This window comes from Homo sapiens, chromosome 3, assembly GCF_000001405.40.
Source record: "Homo sapiens chromosome 3, GRCh38.p14 Primary Assembly".
Lineage (NCBI taxonomy): Eukaryota > Metazoa > Chordata > Mammalia > Primates > Hominidae > Homo > Homo sapiens.
In genome coordinates, this window is record NC_000003.12 from 43,030,809 (window position 1) to 43,047,650 (window position 16,842).

General features: G+C 45.7%; 1 protein-coding gene across 1 annotated transcript in view; it reads left to right on the top strand.

Annotated features, from left to right (window-relative positions):
* Positions 1-16,842, top strand: part of GASK1A (golgi associated kinase 1A) — a 78,405-nt gene that overhangs the window by 51,498 nt on the left and 10,065 nt on the right. The window contains exon 2 of the mRNA NM_001129908.3: positions 1,459-2,745. Coding sequence (NP_001123380.2) covers positions 1,459-2,745 — 1,287 coding nt within the window. The remainder of the gene's footprint in view (positions 1-1,458; positions 2,746-16,842) is intronic.

Consider the following 16,842-nt stretch of genomic DNA (forward strand, 5'->3'; position numbering starts at 1 on the left):
AGATATGGCTCGGGTGGATTGTGGGGGATAGAGGTGGTACTTTTGAGAGAAAGCAGGGGGCTACTGAGGATGGACTTCACCTACATGTCCACTGCAGATCCCGGATAATCCCCTTTTGACACCCACAGGGGAGCTTCTCAGAAGAGCAAGCACATGCGGGGAAAAAAGTGGGATCTGGTTTGTTTTGTGGGTGTTGTTTCTTTGACACCTTTAAAATTCTGTTTACCCGTGTGCCTTTTCTGTGCATTCCAGCAAATTGCCTCACACTGCATATAGTATCAAAAATCTCTAAGGAATATCTGGTGGATTTAGTAAGTAAACTTAATTTGGGGAGTTTTTTTGTGATTTGGACTAGATTGTCCATTCATTTTGTCAGTCACGTATCTGTTGATTCCCATTATGTACCAGGGCTCTGCCTGTAGGTCTGTCACATAAAGGCTCACAGGTACAGAGACTCCCAACTGCAGGCTTGCACTGCTCCAGACACTGCGTTCCTTCCCTTTTGTGGCTCATGATGCCCTAGAGCAGTGGCTCTCAAGCTTAAGCCCACATCAGAATTACCCAGAGTACTTCTTAAAACACAGGCTGCCCAGCCCCTGTTTCTGATTCCGGAATTCTGGTGTGGGGCCCTGAGAATTTGCATTTCTGACAAGTCCCCAGGTGATACTGATACTGCTGGTCCCACGTGAACTTCAGTCAACCAAGAGTTGACTGAAGTGTGCATAGAATATATTTAACTGAATAACTAAGACCTGAACGTAATCCAAGGACTGCATGTTGAGAAATCACTGCCCCTAGGGTGTGTCCTTGCTAACATGTGCAGAGCTGTTGCTGCCACATCTGTGTGCAACCGGCAGGGACGGCAAGAGAGAAAGGCCAGGGTGGCTAACTTCCTTTTAAGCATGTGGGGCTGGCAAAAGTGGTTGGCTCTCATGACATAGTCAGGGACTTGGTCACATGGTCACACCCTGTTGCTAAGGAGGCTGGCAAAGTCATCTCTAACTGGGTGGCCATGTGCTCTGGCAAAGGGTAAGGGCATGTGTGTGGGGACATCAAGAGATCTGCCAGAATGGGCCCATGGGATCACATGGAGACAAAAAGAGAAGGTCAGCTCTTGGTGATGGGGACAGACGTGAGAAAAGCCCCTTATGTTGCATGGTGACAGTGTTGTAATGGCAGTTTATTCAAAGGGAGAATAAGACAGAAGAGCATGGGTCTGCAGGCCTCAGCAGAGGCTGCCCTAGAAGGAAAAGCAAGCCAAGCTTGAAAACAGGAGCATAGTTGGCTGGAGTTGACATTTCCTTTCTTGAAGGCAGCCAGCTGTCCCTCCACTTGGGCTGTGCTCTTCTCTTTCTCTCATGAACTGAGCACCTCATTTGCTTACCATCCCCATTGTTTTGTGGGTTGAGCTGATGTATTTCCCAGATCTCAAGCTTTTCTTTCTACCCTGTCTCTCAGGCGTCTTGGCTCCGGAGAAAGCTGCGTGGCAAGAGGCGGCCAGTGATAGCGTTCTGCCTCTTGATGATCCTATCTGCGATGGCTGTCACCCGCTTTCCCCCACAGCGTCCATCCGCCGGCCCAGACCCTGGTCCCATGGAGCCTCAGGGGGTAACTGGCGCCCCTGCAACCCATATCCGGCAGGCTTTGAGCTCCAGCCGGAGGCAGCGGGCAAGAAACATGGGCTTCTGGAGAAGCCGTGCTTTGCCCAGGAACTCCATCTTGGTCTGTGCTGAGGAGCAAGGCCATAGAGCAAGAGTGGACAGAAGCAGGGAGTCCCCAGGAGGGGACCTCAGGCATCCAGGGAGGGTGAGGAGGGACATTACTTTGTCAGGACATCCAAGACTCAGTACTCAGCATGTTGTGCTCCTGAGGGAGGATGAGGTTGGAGATCCAGGAACCAAAGACCTGGGCCACCCCCAGCATGGCAGTCCCATCCAGGAGACACAGAGTGAGGTGGTCACCCTGGTCAGTCCACTCCCAGGGAGTGACATGGCAGCTTTACCGGCTTGGAGAGCTACTTCTGGGCTGACACTCTGGCCCCATACAGCAGAAGGCAGGGATCTGCTGGGAGCTGAGAACAGAGCCTTGACTGGTGGGCAACAAGCAGAGGATCCCACCTTGGCCTCAGGAGCTCATCAGTGGCCTGGCTCTGTTGAGAAGCTGCAAGGGTCAGTATGGTGTGATGCTGAGACGCTGTTGAGCAGCTCGAGGACTGGTGGGCAGGCTCCCCCATGGCTGACAGACCACGATGTGCAGATGCTCCGTCTGTTGGCACAGGGGGAGGTGGTGGACAAAGCCAGGGTCCCCGCCCATGGGCAGGTGCTACAGGTTGGCTTCTCCACTGAGGCTGCCCTTCAGGACCTGTCCTCTCCCAGGCTCAGCCAACTCTGTTCCCAAGGGCTCTGTGGCCTGATCAAGAGGCCTGGGGACCTGCCTGAGGTCCTGTCCTTCCACGTAGATCGTGTGCTGGGGCTGCGCCGGAGCCTACCTGCTGTGGCCCGCCGCTTCCATAGCCCCCTCCTGCCCTACCGATACACAGACGGTGGAGCAAGGCCTGTCATCTGGTGGGCACCCGATGTGCAGCACCTGAGCGACCCAGATGAGGATCAGAACTCTCTGGCCTTGGGCTGGCTGCAGTATCAGGCCCTGCTGGCACACAGCTGCAACTGGCCAGGCCAGGCCCCGTGCCCGGGCATCCACCATACCGAGTGGGCACGCCTGGCGCTCTTCGACTTCCTGTTGCAGGTAGGTGGGGTTGGGCAGCAGGGGTAGAGAGCTGCGGAGGTAGGGGGTTCTGGGTGGAGAGGCCTGAATTGCCCACCTGAGGTTAGATGGTGACTCTCCCCCAAGTCTTGGTTTTTTGACCACCAAGCACCTGCTTTTGTAATTTTCCTGCCTCTGTTTATTTATCCAGTGGTTACTGGAGCCAGCTCATCAGCTCACAAGAGCTGATGGCTATAATTTTCAGGAATTTTGTGACCTAGTTGTGAAACACAGGCATTATTAAAAAATTAAGTTGTAGAAACAATAAATTATATTAGAAACAAAGGTAATAACTACTCAGAATGCATTATTTCCTAATTATATTACTATAATCTGTGCTTTTGCAGCTTCGTGACTATATAATAAATGCTAGCTAATGGTGTGCCACTGCACATCTCTTGACAACTCCACATTTGGTCATGTTGGTAGCTTGAAATCCGTCAGGGTGTGAATATCTGTTTACACCATGGAAAGCAGCAAATGCTACAAATCAGGACTCCCCTCTACTCCTGGAGAGCTGATTGTTGAACATTTATCAGCATACCACTGTTTATAACTTTACGTCTTTGACTCAACAAGGATTCAAGATGGTTGTATCATTTTTAAAAAAGAGAGAGGGAGAGGTGGAGATAGCGATGGAGAGAATGGGAGAGGAAGGGAGAAAGTGAGGATGCTTGGGCACTGAAGAATGAGAAGGAACTGTGCTGGCTGAGGTCCCTGAACTGTCAGGAGTTAACCCTGGAGTTGCTGGATCGAGGGGTAGTGTGGGAATCCCAGGGAAGGGGTTGTGTTGTCAGGGTACACGGGCTGACTGGGGGACTACAGGCACCAGCTATTTACTAACTTGTCTGTTAACAACCAGTGTGGCTGTTCCGGTGCCCATGAGCTGGACCTCAGCCATAGATACACATGTGTGGAAACATGGCCAGACAGAAACAAAGACAAAAAACAGATAAAGCTCAGTGAGGGTGGATGTGTGCACCAAATGGACATGGAACCAGCCCCCATTTCTATAGAGACCCCTGTTGAAGAAAAGGGTCCTCAATGTCAGCCCTTAGGGTTACCTGCAGAGGTGAGTGGACCAATATGTGGTGTTTCGTCCACATGGGGTTGGGTTTCTATTTTAGAAAATTCTTAGATAATATGTAATACTTCAGAGATTTACCATAAAAACCCAGCTTCCCTTGAAAAATTGGATGGTTTAGTAATACTGGTCCTTCATTCCCATATAGCAGGAAGCAGCCTGAGCTGAGCATCTGCTGCCCCCTTTGGAGGTTGCCATACTCTCCTTTTGGCCACAGGCTCTACCTCTTTATTGTCCGACACTCACCTACTGTCCTCCCGGCCTCTTGAATGTTACCCCAGTCTGCCTGCAGATAAGTCTGTTTCCAGTCACGGGACTAGCTGATCTCCTGTCGTCCTCCCAGCTCCTCCAATCTATGTCCCCGTGGCTGCTTTGTGGAAGGAGGAGCTATGGACCCTGATGATCAAGAGCATGGGCCTTGGCATCAGACCAACCTGGGTTTGAACTCCCACCCCCAGGCCACTTCCCACTGTGTACCCCTGGGCAGATTACCTAGCCTCTCTCAGCTCTACTTTTCTCACCCCAAAATGGGGTTGTGCACCCCAACCTCATCCCCTTGAGCCTGACCATTTAGTACATGGTAGCTCCTGGCTGCTGGCACCTGCATCTGCAGGTTTGCTCTGCTTGCTGCACTGGAAGTGCTGGGGAATGAGTACCCTCCAGGTAGTGTGGCCAACCATGCAGGTTGGGAAGGAGGGGTTTCCCAGATCATAGGACTTTCAGTGCTGAAGCTGGGACAGTTGTGGGCAAACAAGGAAGGTTGGTCATGTTGCCCCCAGGAGCAGCCTGCAACTGTGACTGAGGAGAGTAGGTGTATAGATGCCCTGTATGCGTATTCTACACACCTCTCAGTTAAATTAGCAGGATTGGAGCCCAGTTATTCACAGTGGTAATTGCTGTCTCTCTTCCCCCACTCTACTTGTGTTTCTTGGAGTTAGCACACAAGTAAACTGCTCTCAGTTGAATTCTGGTCTGTCCTCTGGGGATCCCAGCCTTCGTCAGATAATAACATTGATCACGCATAGTTTCTGGATGCAAGGTCATTCATGTAATGTACTTAGTACAGTGCCTGGCGGGTGGCACATACTCAGTAAGAAGCAGGTACCATCCCACTTTACAGGAATTAACTCATCCACTCTTCATGGCAACCTATGAGTGAGATACTACATTTAATCCTATTTTAAAGTTGAGAAATTGAGGCCCAGAGAAATTAGGTTACTTGCCCAAGGTGGCAGCTTGTGGGCTGAGAAGCAGCCTGGATGGTCTGACTCTAGAGCTCACTCTCTGAATCACAGTCATTCAGCTGTCCATGAACGAGGGCAGGAAAAGGGGATGCCTGTAGGGGTGTCCTGGGGCCTTGATCTCTGAGGCACAGCTCCTTGCAAAGCCCCAGTCCAGCTGATGTGCTTGCAGCTGCTCTCTGCTCCACACAGAGCCCCTCTGTTCACCTCTCAGGGTTGCAGCGTGGGACTCTTCCTCAGCTGCCAACCCCTGCTGTGGGGACAAGTCTCTGTAGCCAAAGCATACACAGGTTGGTTATATGGGCAGACATGACTCGGCTGGGCTCATGCCACCTCTTCCCTGGTTTGCTGAATGCCAGTCAAGTCAAGCACCCCCCGTCTGGCTAATGCCACCTTCTTAGAAACCATTGGCAAGGCAGAGAGAGGCAGGGCTGTAGAACGTGGGTTTTCCTGCACAGGAACCTTCTGACCAGGGCCTGGGTACAAACTGCATACAGCCCACTCTTGAGTAGGTCTGCTTGCTCCTTTGGTTTTACCCTGTATAAACCCTTGTTTTTCTGTGTACATCACCACATCCCATTTATGTAGGCACAAAACACAAGCACCGCACACATGCACATCTCTTATACACCCCATAAAGCATACCTGTGCTTCACAAATCCCATATAACACTCTGTATTAGTTAGTGATTGCTGAAATAACACTGTGTAACAAACCTCCAAAACTCAGTGGCTTAAAACACCAGCTCTTTATTCTTGCTCCAGGATCTGTGGGTCAATTGGATTCAACTGAGGTGGAAAAAAAGGAAAAAAGTAAACAGCCACGTTATGAACTGCCTGTGGGGAGAAGAGACATCTAGGAGGACCCTAGCAACCCTGAGGACCTCAGCCCTCCGACTGCAAGCGATGGTGTCAGCTGGCAACCTGAACAGCTTAAGAGAGGACCCTGAGCTAGAGTGAGATCCAGCCCTGGTCCATACCTTGATTGTAGCCTGGGGAAACCCTGAGCTGAGAACCTAGCAAAACTGTAATAGGCTCCTGACCCACAGAAACTGTGAAATCATAGATGTGTTCTTTTAAGCCACTGAGTTCATGGTAATTTATTACACAGCAATAGAAGACTAACACATGAGGCAAGGGTGGTTTCCAAGGTGTGAAAAATTAAGAGCATGCTCACTCTTGGGTGCTGACCCTGCGATTGCACAACACTAAAAGTCAGTACCTCAAACCAGGCAGCGATTCAGGGCAGACCTCCTTATGCTGCTTCAGTGGAAGAAGTGGCCAAAGAACCTAAGTCAAAATCTGGGGGATCGAAGTCCTCTGCTATGTCTTCAGACAGGTCCCTGGCTGAAAATGGAGCGATGGCCGAGGAGAAGCCAACTCCCCAGATGAACGGGACCCCAGGTGATGACAGGGCTCCCAGCCACTCTGAAAGTGCCTTGAATAATGACTCTAAAATGTGCAATACAAATCCTCATTGAAATGCACTAAGTACAGACAGCCCTTGCCACACAGAAGCTGCTCTGGAGGCAGCTGTCTTAAATAAAGAAGAGTAAACTTACTTTTTATAGAGAGTGAAGGATGCTGGAAGGGTAAGGTATTTAGGAATATCTGGAGAGAAAGAACCTGCAGTTATGTACATTTTGTCCTTTCTGTAAGAGAAAAATGAGGACTTTGGAAATTCAGATCCCTCTTTGATATCAGAGATTTAAATGATACATTTTTAATTTTAACCAGTTATAGTCAAAATGCTACAATAAAACAAAAAAGAGAAAGAAAATGAAGAGCATTTGACTCCCACTCTTAAAATGAAGTACACATAAGCTTTAAACTGGTTATGACAAAAGCCTATAGTTGTGTTTCTTGAAGTATAAAGAAAACAAATTTTGGCAGTCTTTAAGTATATATAGCTTAAAATATAATTTGTAGCATTTGGCACCATATGTATGCCATTATATTTGATTTTGCATTACTGTTTCACAATGAAGCTTTCTTTAAGACTTTGATTTTTATGATTATGAAAGAAATAAGGAACAACCACAGTTTTTCTTTCTTAAATTTCATCACTGTTGATGTGGTTCTTTTGTGTTAAAAAAAAGTGCAACTATCAAAACTAAAAAATTATAGAGTAATATTGCCGTTCTGCTGATTTTAAATATACATCATACGTACTTTACGAGCAGGTTAAATGGAGATAAAGTTGAAATCATAGAAGATGCAAATGACCTTTCAAAATCAACACAATGTGTTCTGAAACTTTTCGTGACTCACACCATGCATCTGTGATCAATGAACTATGTGGTTTTGAATCGGATGTAGACCTTTAATACTACTACTTGAGCTAAACTTCTGCATGGTTCGTAATTTTTGAAGTGTGTGGTTAATATTGTGCATGTTATCATCCTTTCTTCCATTCTTATCAGTATGTGCCCATTTGCAAAACAAAAATACTAATAATCAGTAATAGTCCTAGAAAAGATGTTAATTCTGTTTAGTCATTGACTGATATTGCGCTAACCTTGAAATTGTATGATTATTGACCTCTGTTGCATTTATTCTAAAGCCCCCCAAAAATTATCTAGCCGTTTCGAATATCAACATTACACTGGTGTATTCACTGCTTTATGCATTATTGTTCTTTGTTGCTGTTTTATGCTTTCATATTAGCAAATATGAAATTCTGCGAAAAAAAACTCTTTGATCTTTAAAAAAAAAAAATCCCCCATTCTGTAGCAGGAAACAAATTGCTTGTTCTTGAGAACTTTCCCATCAAGAATTTAGTAGAAGCAGGTATACTTCTATCATTTTGATGTTTTTGTTAATGTTTCCAAACAATGTACTTTGAAATCAGAATCACTTCTTATCATTTTTATATACTTCTGATGCTCTTCATCACATTAGTGATCAGAAGTGAGGTGTAATTCCCCAACCCCTGCCCACGAGGACTAAGTAGGATCTTACTGTAAGTTGAAGGGAGTTCGGCCCTGACACATGGATTGTGCAAGAATGAACTGCTGTTGGGTTTGATTGACTGTCGATGGATTGTGGTGTGGTGTATCTGAAGGCTATTGAATGCAACTTACAATGCTTAATAAACATCTTTATTCTTTTAGTATAAAAAAAAAGAAAGTACCTCTTTTGACTTTTTTTTTTTTTTGGTTTCATCTTAGTCCTGCCTCTGTTTAAAAGCATTTTAAAACAAAAGACAAAAATACTATCCATATTCTTTGCCCCATTTTCTTCTCTTTTTTTAAACATCTATTTTTCTTGCTACCAGCACAATCTGCCACCAGGTAGTTTTTTTTTTTGGTTTTTTTTTTTTTTTGAGATGGAGTCTGACTCTGTCGCCCAGGCTGGAGTACAATGGCGCAATCTTGGCTCATTGCAACCTCCACCTCCCGGGTTCAAGTGATTCTCCTGCCTCAGCCTCCTGAGTAGCTGTGATTACAGGCACCCACCACCACACCTGGCTCATTTTTGTATTTTTAGTAGAGACACGGTTTTGCCATTTTGGCCAGGCTGGTCTTGAACTCCTGACCACAGGTGATCCGCCTGCTTCGGCTTCCCAAAGTGCTGGAATTACAGGCATGAGCCACTGTGCCTAGCCTAGGTAGGTTTTATTTATGTATTTTTTAAACTTGTATGTTCAGGGGTACATGTGCAGGTTTGTTATACAGGTAAATTTTGTGTCATGGGTGTCTAGTGTACAGATGATTTTGTCACCCAGGTTATAAGCATAGGACTCGATAGGTAGTTTTTCGATCCTCTCCCTCCACCTTCAAGTAGGCCCCTGTGACTGTTGTTCCTTCTTTGTGTGGCCCCTGTGATTCCTTTCTTTGTGTCCATGTGTATTCAGTGTTTAGCTCCCACTTATAAGTGAGAACATGTGGTATTTGGTTTTCTGTTCCTGAGTTAGTTTGCTTAGGATTATGGCCTCCAGCTCCATCCATGTTCTTTGCCCTATTTTCTGTTGGGTTGTTGGTCTTTTTCTTAATGATTTTAAGAGCTTTTTACAGATTAAGGAACTTAGCCCTTTGTTTTCCATTGTAGTATATAATATTTCCCTTAGATTCAATTGTAATTAAGCTTTGTTTATAGTCTTTTTGCAGTGCAGAAAGTTTTAAAAATGTACATTGTTAAAATGACCAGGATTTTCTCTGATTTTTACGTTCGTGTGTTATATTTTAAAAGGCTATTCTCATTTCAGCGTTATTTTTAAAATTCTCTCCTGTTTTTGATATATCTTTGATCCATCTGGAAGTTATTTTGGAGTAAGGGATAAGGTATAAAACAACTATTTTTTTTTCAGATGGCAACCCAAATGTCTCAGTGACATTTGTTGAATAATCAATCTTTCCCTCAACTTGAAAGGCTACCTTTAATAGAGCCAATTTCCATAAGTATATAGGTCTATTTCTGGACTCTTTTCTGTTCCAGGAAAGGGTCTATTTATATGCCAGAGTCACACTGTTTGAATTACTGAGCTTTATATTTTATGTTAATAACTAGTAGGACTTGGTCCTTCTCACTGCTCTTTTTTAGAATTTTCTTGATATTCTTGTGTACTTTTTTGCTTGTTCCTTCCCCTTCCCAGATCCTTTTGGGATTTTCTTGAAATCAAATCAAGTTTTTGTGGATTAATATAGAGAGCATTTACACCCTGAAATACAGTCACTCTAGCCGAGAACAGGTTATGCCTCTCCATCTGTTCACGTTCCTCAGAAGCATTTTGATGTTTTCTTCAGCTGGGTCTTCACTTTCAGGTTGGGTTATTCCTTGGTATTTTATCTTCTTGTGGCTGTTGGAAATGGGATCTTTTTTATTTTATTTTATTTTATTATTTTTTATTATTATACTTTAAGTTTTAGGGTACATGTGCACAATGTGCAGGTTAGTTACATATGTATACATGTGACATGCTGGTGCGCTGCACCCACTAACTTGTCATCTAGCGTTAGGTATATCTCCCAATGCTATCCCTCCCCCCCGCCACAACAGTCCGCAGAGTGTGATGTTCCCCTTCCTGTGTCCTTGTGTTCTCGTTGTTCAATTCCCACCTATGAGTGAGAATATGCGGTGTTTGGTTTTTTGTTCTTGCGATAGTTTACTGAGAATGATGATTTCCAATTTCATCCATGTCCCTACAAAGGACATGAACTCATCATTTTTTATGGCTGCATAGTATTCCATGGTGTATATATGCCACATTTTCTTAATCCAGTCTATCATTGTTGGACATTTGGGTTGGTTCCAAGTCTTTGCTATTGTGAATAGTGCCGCAATAAACATACATGTGCACGTGTCTTTATAGCAGCATGATTTATAGTCCTTTGGATATATACCCAGTAATGGGATGGCTGGGTCAAATGGTATTTCTAGTTCTAGATCCCTGAGGAATCGTCACACTGACTTCCACAATGGTTGAACTAGTTTACAGTCCCACCAACAGTGTAAAAGTGTTCCTATTTCTCCACATCCTCTCCAGCACCCGTTGTTTCCTGACTTTTTAATGATTGCCATTCTAACTGGTGTGAGATGATATCTCATTGTGGTTTTGATTTGCATTTCTCTGATGGCCAGTGATGGTGAGCATTTTTTCATGTGTTTTTTGGCTGCATAAATGTCTTCTTTTGAGAAATGTCTAGGGATCTTTTATTTCGTTACATGTTCTGGCTGGTAGCTCTTTGTCCATAAGAAGGCTATTTCTTCTGCATATTAACTTTGCCACCATCCACCTTCTGACTTCATCTTGCTTTTAACAGTTGCTCAGTTTATCCTCTTGGGCTTCCCCTGCATACCATCATTTCATCTGTAACAAATGGGGTTCTGTCTTTTCATTTCCTCTTTCTTACTCTTACCTCATTACATTTGCTGGTGTCACAGAGCAATGGTAAATATTAATGGAATGATAGACATGACATGTTTCTAACAGATTTGCGATGAACTATTCATTATTCTTGCTTTATTAAGATTTTTTCAGGCCAGGTGCAGGGGCTCATGCCTGTAATCCCAGCACTTTCCATCCTGAAGGCCCCAGGCCTGTGACTGTTCCCAGTGTGGGGAAGCATCTCTGTGCTGGGGGCATGGGCCACCAGGGACAGCAGGTTGCTCTTCTGGAGTCTACGAGACCCAGATCAGGCACTGCTTGAGGAAACCATCTTGGCCCCAGAGACATGACATGTTTCTTACAGATTCGGGACAATTTCTAGTGTTTCACCATTAAACACCATGCTGGCTTTTGACTGAAAATAGGATGAATTATTCATTATTCCTACTTATTGAGAGTGTTCAGGTCAGGCGCAGTGGCTTACAACTGTAATCCCAGCAGTTTGAGTGGGCCAGGTGGGAGGATTGCTTGAGCCCAGGAGCTCAAGACCAGCCTGGGCAATATAGGGAAACCTTGTCCCTACAAAAAAAAAAAAAAAAAAAAATTAAAACTTAGCCAAGCAAAGTGGCATGCACCTGTAGTCCCAGCTCCTCAGGAGGCTGAGGGGGAAGGATCTCTTGGGCTCAGGAGGTGGAGGTTGCAGTGAGCTGTGATCATGCCACTGCACTCCAGCCTGGCGACAGAGCCAGACCCTGTCTCAAAAGAAAACAAAAGCAAAAAAGAGTTTCATTTTCAGGAATGGATGTGTAATTTTTTCGAATGCCTTTTGGGTATCTGTGGGAGAAGTCACCATATTTTCCCCCGTAATTATTAAAGTGGGACATTTTGTGACAGTGTTGCAATGGTGATTCTTCTTAGCTTTCTTGCCCAGAACCTACTTTGCTGTGGTGGATTCATCTTTTAATGGCTGCTGGGTTTTGCGTTGATGTTTAAAATTTAGGAGGCTCCACAGATGGTCTTTTTAGATAAGCTATAGTCCTTCTCAATCCAGCTCCTCAAAGCCCATCAGCTGGTCTATTCGCCGGCTTCCGAAGATGGTGCTGAGGCTTCTGGCCCTGGGCTTGGGGCAGATGAAGCAGTCTAGGTGTTCCCTCCCTGGAGCTTCCAGGGAAGATGCCATGTATGTGGAAAGGCAAGGAGCACAGCAAGGTGAGTCCTTAGAGGAGAGTGAGAGTCAGTGCCGAGTAACTCCCTCCTCTTTCACACTCTGACCACCCCAAAGCCTCACCAAATTCTTCAACAGCCAGCCAGCCAGTATGGGAGCAGCCTGCCACCCTCCTTGGAGAGAGGTATTGGGGTATGGGAAGGGGAGTTGGCTCTCCTCCTGCCTCCAACTATGCTGCAACTCTCTGACCCCCAGGCAGTGAGCCTGCCTAGTCAGCAGCCACCCTTTCCACCGTGAAGGTCCCAGGCCTGTGACTGCTCCCAGTTTGGGGAAGTGTCTCTGCGCTAGGGGCATGGGCCACCAGAGACAGCAGATGGCTCTTCTGGACTCTACCAGACCCAGATCAGGCACTGCTTGAGGAGTCTTGGCCCAAGAGCCTTCACTCCGGACCTTCCCACCCCCACAGCTGGACCTGGTATCCCTTCTTGGCAGACTGCAGTATCTTTTCCCATCCAGATGTCCTGTTTGGGAAGTCACAGAGGCAGTGACCCTACTATATCCTTCATGCTGGCAACCAGTCATGCACTTCAATTTGTTCTTGCATCCAAAAACCTTCAACTAAGTCTCTGGTTATGATAAACATGTTCTGGGGACTGGATCACATTACTCAGCCTGTGTGACTCATTATTCAGCCTCATCTTTGAAATGGGAACAATAACAGTATCTATCTCTTGGCTGCTAGCAGGGGTCAAATGACTTGTGATATGTAAAGCACTAAGGATAATACCTGGCACAGAGTAAGGGCATTACAATGGCTTAACTAAATTTAAACAAAAACTTCAGTCCACATGATTATGTAACACTGCCAGAAAACCCAAACTCTAAAGGATTATCATTTTTTCTTGGTATCTCTTCATTTTTTCAAAAAGGGGAAAAAAATCAAATCTTGAAGGAATATGGGAATGAAAGGTAAGCTTGGTCTTGTTTGGCTGCTAGTCTGCTACTGTTTAAACCTAATTTCTCTTCTGTAGAAAAAACCAACCAGACAGTGTGGCAGAATAATCACACTGGCAAGTGTGCCAGCCAAGCCCTCACTGTGAAACATTCAAATGGGTGTAGATTCTGGGAAGCCAGCACTGCACGCATCATATGGGCCAGTATTTCTTGTAGCTTCCTCTGGAAATAGATGCTGCTGCAAGTTTAAATCTGCACAGAATGGCCTTGAGACGGGAGCAGGGAGGGTTTGGTGGGAGCAAGGGGGTTTGGCTGACCATGCAGCAGGTGTGAAGCAAAATCCAGGGCAGTTATTGCATTTTGGGCTTGCTAGAGCTGCCCTGACATTTGCTGTCCTGGCCCAAGAGAATTCAGCTGGTGAGTTTCTGTCTCACAGATATGTTGCGCTCCAAACACTAGGCTTGTGCGTGGAAGAGATGCTAGACCCACATCATAACTTACTTTATGTCAGACTCTGGTTCTCAGGCCTGTAGTGCTGGGTGAGTGGGGGGTGAGGACAGTGCTTTTTCGGAGGGAACCACTGGCCTGTCCCCTCCAGGGCCAGAGACTTCTGGGAACTCTCCATAACAACCGCCTCCTGCTTTACATCCTGTGTGGTCCTCAACATGGCCCCATGGGAGTATCACCTCCCCATTTTGTTGATGAGAAAACTGAGGCACAGCAAGATTAGTAATTTCCTCAATTCGCATAGCCAGGACATAGTGGAGGCAGGATTCATCCCCAAATTCATCTGGACTTCAAACTGGGGGTCACAAACTAAACCGTGGCCCACAATGCAGCCAAATTCACTCCTTGCCTTTTTGTAGAATGGTTTAGAATGATTTTAGCACTTTTAAGTGGTTGAAAAAATTGAAAATATAATATTGTGGGACATCTAAATTTACATGAAATTCAATTTCAGTGCACATAAGGTTTTATTGGTGTTGGGATGATCACACCCAACACGAGGCCGTGGGAGCTACAAAGTCTGGCGGAGTCAAAGGAACGAGAAAAGACAAGAGTGCATAATGTGGGTCCAGGGGGCCAACGCTAGTATGGAGGCTGTGAAGGCCCCAAGCTCTGGGAGCCCACATTATTTATTGGTGATCAAACAAAGAAGCAGGTGGTGAGGACATTGAGGATGTGGGGGTAAACAGGTGAGGGTGTGAGGATGTGGGTGTAGAAAGGTAGCGGTGCATCAAGTGTAGCTGTGATGGTTTAGCATTTTCTTTGACACATATAGAATATGCTCTGCTGCTTGAGATAATGGAGAGCATGTTTACTAGCCTGGGAGAGCAACCAGCAAATCTGTGCACATTCCAGAGGCTACAGGGGTTTTATGCCCTGGGCCCTGGATTCTATCCAAGCCATGAGGGGTTTTATGCCCTGAGCTTAGATTTGTGGTGTGGCAGGGCAGCCTTCCACCCTTTGGCACAGAGCTTGGTGTTCCAAAGGCCATGAGGGGTTTTAGACCCTGGACCCTGGACATCTTCCAAGACTCTTTTATATTATGACAGACAAGCCAGTCCTGCCTCAGCTCTTCTACCAACATATTGGAATATAGCCATGCCTATTTGTTTATGTATTATCTATAATATATAAGATATGCACAACAGTAGCAGACTTAAGTAGTTATGACAGAGACTGTATGGCATCCAAAGCCTAAAATATTTACTCTCTGGTCCTTTATAGAGAAGTTTTCTGATCTCTGCACTAAACCACTGTGTTGGTAGCCTCTGGTGGCTCTTGCTAAGGATGGGGTGCATATGAAAGCATGGAGTAGGCTCATATATGGGTGGTGATATGGTTTGACTGTGTCCCCACCCAAAATCTCATCTTGAATTGTAATCCCCATAATCCCTACGTGTCAAGGAAGAGACCAGGTGGAGGTAATTGAATCATGGGGGTTGGTTTCCTCAATGCTATTCTCGTGATAGTGAGTTCTCATGAGATCTGATGGTTTTATAAGTGCCTGGTAGTTCCTCCTGCATTCATTCTCCTTCCTGCCACCTTGTGAAGAAGGTTCCTTGCTTTCCCTTCATCTTCTGCCATAATTGTAGATTTCCTGAGGCCTCCTCAGCCATGCAGAACAATGAGTCAATTAAATCTCTTTCCTTATGAATTCCTCAGTCTTGGGCAGCTGTTTATAGCAGTATGAAAATGGACTAATACAGTAAATTGGTACCACAAAGAGTGGGGTGCTGCTATAAAGGTACCTAAAAATGTGGAAGTGACTTTGGAACTGGGAAACAGGCAGATGTTGGAACAGGCAGAGTTTGGAGGGCTCAGAAGAAGACAGGGAGATGTGGGAAAGTTTGGAACTTCCTAGAAACTTGTTGAATCGCTTTGAACAAAATGTTGATAGTGATATGGACAATGAAGTCCAGGCTGAAGTGGACTCAGATGGAGATGAGAACTTGTTGGGAACTGGAATAAAGGTGATTATTGCTATGCTTTAGCAAAGAAACTGGCGGCATTTTGCCCCTGCCCTAGAGATCTGTGGAACTTTGAACTTGAGAGAGATGATTTAAGGTATCTGGCAGAAGAAATTTCTAAGCAGCAAAGCATTCAAGATGTGACCTAGATACTCTTAGAAACATTCAGTTTTATGCATTCACAGAGATGGTTTGGAATTGGAACTTATAATTAAGATGGAATCAGAGCATAAAAGTTTGGAAAATTTGCATCCTGATGATGTGGTAGAAATGAAAAACCCATTTTCTGGAGGGAAATTCAAGCTGGCTGCAGAAATTTGCTTAAGTAATGAGGAGCCAAATGTCAATGCCAAGACAATGGAGAAAATGTTTCCAGGGCATGTCAGAGGTCTTCATGGCAACCATCTCATCACAGGTCCAAAGGCCTGGGAGGAGGAAATGGTTGTGTGGGCAGGGCCCAGGATCTTGCTGCTTTGTGCAGTCTTAGGACTTGGTGCCCTCCATCCCAGCTGCACCAAAAAGGGGCCAAAGTACAGCTCAAGCCATTGCTTCAGAGGGTACAAGCCCCAAACCTTCTAGGCCTCCACGTGGTGTTGCACCTGTGGCTGCACAGAAGACAAGAATTGAGCTTTGGAAACCTTCACCTGTATTTCAGAGGATGTATGGAAACACCTGGATGTCCAGGCAGAAGTCTGCTGAAGGGGTGGAACCCTCATGGAGAACCTTTGCTAGGGCAATGTGGAAGGGAAATGTGGAGTCAGAGCCCCCACACAGAGTTCCCAGTGGGGCTGCCTGATGGAGCTGTGAGAAGAGGGCCATCATCCTCCAGACCCCAGAATGGTAGACACACTGACAGCTTGCACTGTGCACCTGGAAAAGCTGCAGACACTCAATGCTAGCCGGTGAGAGCAGTCAGGAGGGGGTCTCTATCCTGCAAAGCTACAGGGCCAGAGCTGCCCAAGACTGTGGGAGCCCATCTCTTGCATCAGCATGAGAATGGACTAATACAGGTGGGATGATACTAGCTTTAGTGATTTAAAATGAACTCTCTAACCCTGTCCTAGCCAACATTTTTATTAGTAGCCTGAATGAGGACATCTGGGCTGTAGGGGACCCAGCCATTCTCTCTGTAGTCGTTCCTCACAGAGCCCTGATTTGATTCACCTTCCACCTATTCCTGGATTCAGAGGCAATGGGTTCAAGGATCAGTGCATTAACGTCTTCCACTGATTGCTGTTGGTCCACTGATTGCTATTGGCCTCTTAATTTGGCTGAAGGGAAGACCTTCTATTCCACGGTTGTTGAGGGGAGAGGTTCCTTCTCTCTCTCCCCTTC